This window comes from Homo sapiens, chromosome 6 (genome assembly GCF_000001405.40).
Source record: "Homo sapiens chromosome 6, GRCh38.p14 Primary Assembly".
NCBI classification, from domain to species: Eukaryota; Metazoa; Chordata; class Mammalia; order Primates; family Hominidae; genus Homo; species Homo sapiens.
The window spans coordinates 135,715,640-135,724,205 of record NC_000006.12 but is presented as its reverse complement, the minus strand read 5'-3'; the positions used below and the strand labels follow the sequence as shown (position 1 = coordinate 135,724,205).

The window sequence follows — 8,566 nt, the reverse complement described above, 5'->3', positions numbered from 1 at the left end:
ACATTTTTAAATGAACTTGTATTAAATTGATAATAAGAAAAGCACAAGCAAAATACTAAAGTGTACCCTATGATCCTACTCAGCAATAGTAATCTCAAGTTCACCTGGTCTTTCAGTCCTAATGTTTCCTAGTGGTTTGTTGCCCCAAACAATAGGGTTGCCTTCCAGAAAACTAACACTGTAGACTCTTACAAACAAGCAGAATCAAGAGATCAAATATCTACTCCCAGCTTCAAATTCCCAAGATGGAACTAACTGGGAACCATTAAGTAAACACAATACGTCCATCCTTTCTTCACTCTATGAGCATTTAAGTCCGAATGAAGATGTATAAGAGATGCCAGTGATGAAACTGAAAACTCTTGAACATAAGAAGGGAATACAATTTCTCTTGGGGGGTCAAAGGAGGCTCTTTGGAAGAAATGGCATTCAAGTGAGGCCTGAAGTGGGAAGAGAAGCGTATTAGTCCATTTTCATACTGCTATGAAGAAATACCTGAGACTGGGAAATTTATAAAGAAAAGGGGATTTCATGGACTCACAGTTCCACATGGTTGGAGAGGCCTCACAATCATGGCAGAAGGTGAAGGAGGAGTAAAGTCATGTCTTACATGGCTGTAGACAAGAGAGCTTGTGCAGGCAAACTGTCCTTTATAAAACCATCAGATCTTGTGAGACTCACTCATTATCATGAGACCAGCATAGTGGAAACCACCTCCATGATTTAATTACCTCCACCTGCTCCTGCCCTTGACACATGGGGATTATTAAAATTCAAGGTGAGATTTGGGTGGGGACACAGAGCCAAACTATGTCATTCCCCACTTGGCCCCTCCCAAATCTCTTGTCCTCACATTTCAAAACACAATCATGCCCTTCCAACAGTCCCCCACAATCTTAGCTCATTCCAGCATTAACCCAAAAGTCCAAGTCCAAAGTCTCATCTGAGACAAGGCAAGTCCTTTCTGCCTATGAACCTGTAAAATCAAAAGCAAGTTAGTTACTTCCTAGACACAATGGGGGTGCAGGCATTGGGTAAATACACCCTTTCCAAATGGGAGAAACTGGCCAAAACAAAGGGGTGACAGGCCCCATGCAAGTCCTAGATCCAACAGGGCAGTCATTAAACCTTACATTTCCAACATGATCACCTTTGACTCCATGTCTCACATCCAGATCACGCTGATACAAGAGGTGGGCTCCCACAGCTTTTGGCAAGGAGTCAGCAAGACTAGCTAGATGGTAGGAAACATTTAGTCATGTAGCATTCAAATTATCTCTGACCTCAGGTTGACCCAAGTTAATTATTTATAAAGAACTGATTTGCCTTACGATACAGCTCTGAGATGTATTAGTCATAATGAGTCAAGAGGTCTTAGCTTCGGAGCATTCTTTCATTCTACAGTTGCTGAGCTTTAAAACAGTATGCTCTACCAGGACACTCGCTTACCCGAACCCCAAGCAGCCACATCCTCACTAACTTGGTGCTGGGACATTGTGAGATCAAATCAGAAATCTCCTACATTAACTGACAGTCAAAATCTGTCAGCCTAATGTTCTGTATCCAGCCCAGCACACCCACTCCTATGCTGCAGGTTCTAATAAATATTTGGAGTCAGGGAGGGGAAAAGGGGATTTGGATGATGATGTTCTGTAGGAAAAACAAAATATGTCAAATACTCATATCTGTTGAGTATTCTCATATCAAAGAATTTAGGAATGCCTTTATAGAGCTTTATAAAACAAATAAGTTGTTATGTATGAGACATATATATAAACATTGACTAGGAAATGATCTGTAATCTTTTATATGCTCTCTCTCCAAATGAAAACATATTATTCACCATAGATCACAGAGGTCCATCACAAACCACCCAATGTTAAGTAATCAAAGGTTACAATGTTAAATGCCATGAGTCTACTGTACATACTGTAAAAAGCAGGTGTGTCCTACTTTTTCCTTCACTAAAAACTATTTAGTAAGCATTTTCCTGCATCAGTCATATTCTAAAAATTCTATCATGTGGTTTTATCTCATTTAATTTTCAATTATTCTATTATTGTACATAATGATTTATTCCTAATTTTCATTTATAAATAAAAAATTAAAATTGGATCTTGTGCAAAAGTCTTGGGATATTTTAATTTTTTATTTGGGTTAGATTCATATTGAGTCAAAATGTGTGACTTTTTAAAAGCTACCTTTTGGGAAATGATGTGCCAACTTCTAGCTGCCATGTAAAAAACAGACACGTTACTATGATCTTGAATTCAGTATTATTATAAACACTTCTTTTTTTTTTCGAGATGGAGACTTGCTCTGTCACCCAGGCTGGAGTGCGATGGTGTGATCTCCACTCACTGCAACCTCTGCCTCCCAGGTTCAAGCAATTCTCCTGCATTAGCCTCCTGAGTAGCTGGGATTACAGGCACCCACCACCACACCCGGCTAATTTTTGTAATTTTTAATAGAGGCGGGGTTTCACCACGTTGTTCAGGCTGGTCTTGACCTCCTGACCTCGTGATCTGCCCACCTTAGCCTCCTAAAGTGCTGGGATGACAGGCTTGGGCCACCATGCCCAGCCAGAATTTCTTATATTAATAGTGAAGAACAGTACTTTAGTGTCTATATTTTGCTTACTAGTGAGCATATTTTCCACTTTTCATTGGTGTTTTGTATTTCTACTTTGTGCCTCTTTTTGCCTTTTCAATTCTCATTTTGTAAATTTGTATTTCCTTTTATTATAATTTATAGATATTTGTCTATTTCATGTTTTTCTCAAATAACCAGTTTTTTAAGTTATACTTTAAGTATTGGGATATATGTGCAGAATGTGCAGGTTTGTTACATAGGTATACACGTGCCATGGTGGTTTGCTGCACCCATCAACCCGTCATCTACATTAGGTATTTCTCCTAATGCAATTCCTTCCCTAGCTCCCCACCCCACCGACAGGCCCCGGTGTGTGATGTTCCACTCCCTGTGTCCATGTGTTCTCATTGTTCAACTCCCACTTATGAGTGAGAATATGCTGTGTTTGGTTTTCTGTTCCTGTGTTAGTTTGCTGAGAATGATGGTTTCCAGTTTCATTCATGTCCCTGCAAAGGACAGGAACTCATCCTTTTTTATGGCTACATTGTATTCCAGGGTGTACATGTGCCACATTTTCTTTATCCAGTCCATCATTGATGGGCATTGGGTTGGTTCCAAGTCTTTACTATTGTGAGTGGTGCTGCAATAAACATACATGTGCATATGTCTTTACAGTAGAATGATTTATAATCATTTGGGTATATACCCAGTAATGGGATTGCTGGGTCAAATGGTATTTCTGGTTCTAGATCCTTGAGGAATCACCACACTGTCTTCCACAATGGTTGAACTAATTTACACTCCCATCAACAGTGTAAAAGCATTCCTTTTTCTCCACGTCCTCTCCAGTATCTGTTGTTTCCTGACTTTTTAATGATCGCCATTCTAACTGGCATGAGATGGTATCTCATTGTGGTTTTGATTTGCATTTCTCTAATGACCAGTGTTGATGAGTTTTTTTTCATATGTTTATTGGCCACATAAATGTCTTCTTTTGAGAAGTGTCTGTTCATATCCTTCACCCACTTTTTGATGGAGTTGTTTTTTCTTGTAAATTTGTTTAAATTCTTCATAGATTCTGGATATTAGCCCTCTGTCAGGTGGATAGATTGCAAAAATTTTCTCCCATTCTGTAGGTTGCCTGTTCACTCTGATGATAGTTTCTTTTGCTGTGCAGAAGCCCTTTACTTTAATTAGATCCCATTTGTCAATTTTGGCTTTTGTTGCCATTGCTTTTGGTGTTTTAGTCATGAAGTCTTTGCCCATGCCTATGTCCTGAATGGTATTGCATAGATTTTCTTCTAGAGTTTTTATGGCTTTAGGTCTTATGTTTAAGTCTTTAATCCATCTTGAGTTAATTTTTGTATAAAGTGCAAGGAAGAAGTACTGGCTAGCCATTAGCCAGTATTCCCAACACCTTTTATTAAATAGGGAATCCTTTCCCCATTGCTTGTTTTTGTCAGATTTGTCAAAGATTAGATGGTTGTAGATGTTTGGTGTTATTTCTGAGGCTTCTGTTCTGTTCCATTGGTCTATATATCTGTTTTGGTACCACGCTGTTTTGGTTACTGTAGCTTTGTAGTGTAGTTTGAAGTCAGGTAGCATGATGCCTCCAGCTTTGTTCTTTTTGCTTAGGATTGTCTTGGCTATATGGGCTCCTTTTTGGTTCCATATGGAATTTAAAGTAGTTTTTTTCTAATTCTGTGAAGAAAGTCAATGGTAGCTTGATGGGGATAGCATTGAATCTATAAATTACTTTGGGCAGTATGGCCATTTTCATGATATTGATTCTTCCTATCCATGAACATGGAATGTTTTTCCATTTGTTTGTGTCCTCTCTTATTTCCTTGAACAGTAGTTTGTAGTTCTCCATTAAGAGGTCCTTCACATCCCTTGTAAGTTGGATTCCCAGGTATCTGTAGCAATTGTGAATGGGCATTCACTCATGATTTGGCTTTCTGTTTGTCTATTATTGGTGTACAGGAATGCTTGTGATTTTTGCACATTGATTTTCTATCCTGAGACTTTGCTGAAATTGCTTATCAGCTTAAGGAAATTTTGCTCTGAGATGATGGGGTTTTCTAAATATACAATCATGCCATCTATAAACACAGACAAATTGACTTCCTCTCTTCCTATTTAAATACCCTTTATTTCTTTCTCTTGCCTGATTGCCCTGGCCAGAACTTCCAATTCTATACTGAATAGGAGAGGTGAGAGAGGGTATCCTTGTATTGTGCCGGTTTTCAAACGGAATACTTCCAGCTTTTGCCCATTCAGTATATTGTCTGTGGGTTTGTCATAAATAGCTCTTATTATTTTGAGATACATTCCATCACTACCAAGTTTATTGAGAGTCAAACAACCAGTTTTTAACCCTATACACTCTATTGCTTTTCTCCATAATTTATTGTTCTTCTTTTCTTTATCTTTCTTATCTCTTTAGCTTTGCTGATTCTTTAAACTTTTTGAATATAAAGTTTAGTTCATGAAATATTAATTCTTTATTGCTTAATGACAAAATCACTAATGCTTGTAAATTTTTTAAATTACAATGTATCTATAGTCTATAAATTTTAGTGTTCTGAAACATATTGTTTTTTGAAAGACCAACTATAGTTTTTATTTCATTTTTGAAACAATAGTTTTTTTGTTTTTTGTTTTTTGTTTTTGAGATGGAGTTTCACTCTTGTTGCTCAAGCTGGAATGCAGTGGTGTGATCTCAGCTCACTTCAACCTCTGCCTCTCGGGTTCAAATGATTCTCCTGCCTCAGCCTCTCGAGTAGCTGGGATTACAGCTGTCCGCCACTATGCCTGGCTAAGTTTTGTATTTTTATTAAAGACAGGGTTTCACCATGTTGGCCAGGCTGGTCTCGAACTCCTGGCCTCAAGTGATCCGCCCACCTCGGCCCCCCAAAGTGCTGGGATTATAGGCCTGAGCCACTGCACCCAGACACAATAGTTCTTTAAAAGAGTGATTTTTAAAAAATTTCTTAGACAAACTATTTTGTTTAAAAATTTATTAACTTCTAGATTTATTGCTTTATGGAAAGAAATATATGTATAATTTTTGATTTGGGGAATTTATTGAGATTGTATTTGGGGTGTTAATGGTGTTAATACTTGAGATGTCCAAGAGAAAATGATATATAACATTAATGTATTAATTATGGTATTCAAATAATTTGTGTCATTATTTATTCTTTATTATTTTAATTCTGTTAAAGGGTGAGGTAGAAATGTTAAAATCTCCTACAGAGTTTTGTTTCTCTTAATTTCCATGTATTTGTCTGATAGCTTGATGATATGCTACAATTCATAATTTATACCATTCTGAGCCATAACTTTTGATAACATAAAATGACCCTCTTTGTCTCATTTTAATGCTGTTGGCTTCATTTTACTTTGTCTGAAATTTATATTGCTCCAACTGCTTCCTGTTGATATTTGCCAAGTAAACATATCCTAAGCCTTCATTTTTAATCACGTAGTGGGGCCCAAAGCGGAGAGCAAGCCTACGACCACAGTCCCAGCAAGAGCTTTGCAGTCCTACAACCTGTTCTTCACATTCTGACTCTGTGACCAGTGTTTCATTAAGCAAGTTATTTAGCCTGTGTACGCCTCACTTTCCAAATCTGTAAAATCAGCGGAAATAAAAATAACTTGTATGAGAACAATTATTGGTAATATAATAAAGGGAATTTCTTAACCTGATAAAATTTGTAACAAATGTACTTAAAACTGAACTATTAGCAGTGTTCTTTTTAAAATCTGGAATAACACAAGAATGCCTCCTTGGCCGGGCGCGGTGGCTCACACCTGTAATCCCAGCACTTTGGGAGGCCAAGGTGGGTGGATCACGAGGTCAGGAGATCGAGACCATCCTGGCTAACACGGTGAAACCCCGTCTCTACTAAAAATACAAAAAAGCATTAGCTGGGCGTGGTGGCGGGCGCCTGTAGTCCCAGCTACTCAGGAGGCTGAGGGAGGAGAATGGCGTGAACCCGGGAGGCGGAGCTTGCAGTGAGCCGAGATCGCGACGCCACTGCCCTCCAGCCTGAGCTCCAGCCTGAGCTACACAGGGAGACTCCGTCTCAAAAAAAAAAAAAAAAAAAAAAGAATGCCTTCTTGCACTGCTTCTGCTCAACATTTAAATAGAAGTAATGGTCATCCAATAAGAATAGACTAGGAAGTAAAATTTATAAAAATTATAAAGAAACATGACTATTAGTTTTTGCAGAAAATGTAATTATATCTTTAGAAAAACCCAAGATAATCTACAAAATAATTATTAGAATTAATACAAGAGAGTTTTGGAAGATAGCTGGATATAAATCGGTATAGAAATTCATTACATCAATAGAAATCACCAGCAACAACAGAAAAATGAACTGTTGGAAACAATATAATTTGCCCTAATGAATTATATGAGACTTAGCAATCTGTTAAAAAAGTGAGCCTGATCTTTACAAATATAATTATAAGTTGTTATTGAAAGCCATTAAGAAGATTTAAAATAGATGTTATGGGGATCAAATAAAAACCACAGGGAGGGTTTCTTGAAGATGCTGTCCAGCATGACCACTCTGTCTTACAGCTAGTATGTTTATTATATCAGGATGGTTGTGATTTCAATTAAATATTTAAAGTTTTTTATTTTATTTGTTCCTTGTAAGCAGCAAATAGTTGTTATCTCTTTGTTTTTTGGTTTTACTAGCTGTGAATTATTTACTATTTTATGCCAAACCGTTTAAACAAATGGAATTAGTTACTGTCCATAAACGTATTTAATAAAGTTCTAAAACCTGTAAACAATAGCTTCTATTGCTTAAAAATACATATAAGCGTGCAATAAAAATGGAAAACAATGTAGGTTAGTGGTAACCCTATGTGGCAAGAAAGAAACAGCACAGAGAAATATACAGGAGAATGGGCAGAGTTTTCTTTTATAAGCTGTGGGTGGATGTGGTATTTATTATTTTACTCTTTTTTGCTGTTTTGAACACTCAACATACATCATAATAAGTAAACTGGTCCTTATAATGATTTATATACTTTTCTAAAGGTTGGGGAATTCCTTTTAACTATAAGCTAGTATGAGTCATCAATAATATACAATTTTTAAAAAACAAAGGCGTTTTTAGGCAGCACCAAGAAAAAGATTGCCTCAGTCAAGGATGACACTAGGAAGTCTCTATTATTTATAGATTCTCTATTTTCTTCTGCTGGAATGTAGGTTTACAAGGGCAAAGATCTCTGACGTCTCAAGGTGTTATGTTGCTGCTTGGCATACGTCAGATGCTTAAAAATATTTGTTAATTGAAGAATGATTTCGTATGTGTGCACACAATTCAAGTATATTTTTCGTTGGATTCAATTTGCTAATACTTTGTTTAGGATTTCCTCATATAAATCATGTTGTGCCTTTCTTACTCTGTTTTCCACTAGTGTTGGTATTAAGGTTATTTTGGCTTCCTAAAATCTGTTGGAGGAATAGTTCCTCTTTGTCTATTCTCTGGAATAATTTACATAAGATTGGAATGATGTGCCCTTCAACATCTGGTAGAAGTTGTCTTTTAATTATCTAGGATGTGTGTGTTTTGCAGTGCGGAGGTTTACAGCAACAGCTATTACAAATTTCCCCCAAATTTCAATGGCTTACTACACCGAAGGTTTCTTTCTCATTCATCACTCAGCAGCCATTGGATGTGTGTCTAGCACCTTTCCTGGTTGACTCTTTTGCAGCTTTTTCTTTTGTAGGAATCCACCACATGAAATTTCTTTACCTTCAGCTGCAAATGAAAGCAAGCCAAAGATTTTAAGAAAGAAAGATTTTGGAGGATAGTCCTATAATTATCTTTTTCGCCCTCATTCCACTGACTAGTACCAAACTTGTAGCTTCAATCTAATGGCAAGGCAGATGTACTTCCGGGAAGAGGAAATAGCATTGGTAAGCATCCAATAATCTCTGCCC

The 8,566-nt window shown here is 37.1% G+C and overlaps 1 long non-coding RNA gene across 1 annotated transcript in view, besides 1 other annotated feature; it reads right to left on the bottom strand.

The window, feature by feature from the left end:
* Window positions 551-1,750: an enhancer, noted in NCBI's record as "P300/CBP strongly-dependent group 1 enhancer chr6:136043594-136044793 (GRCh37/hg19 assembly coordinates)". NCBI's record gives its function as "activates an origin of replication core promoter dependent on BRD2, BRD4, P300/CBP, MED14 and CDK7 cofactors, with strong dependence on P300/CBP, by STARR-seq in HCT116 cells {active_cell/tissue: HCT116}" and the evidence as "EXISTENCE:reporter gene assay evidence [ECO:0000049][PMID:35650434]".
* AHI1-DT (AHI1 divergent transcript) overlaps window positions 8,151-8,566 on the bottom strand; it is a 218,255-nt gene continuing 217,839 nt past the window's right edge. The window contains exon 6 of the long non-coding RNA NR_152842.1: window positions 8,151-8,384. This is a non-coding gene — a long non-coding RNA (AHI1 divergent transcript). The remainder of the gene's footprint in view (window positions 8,385-8,566) is intronic.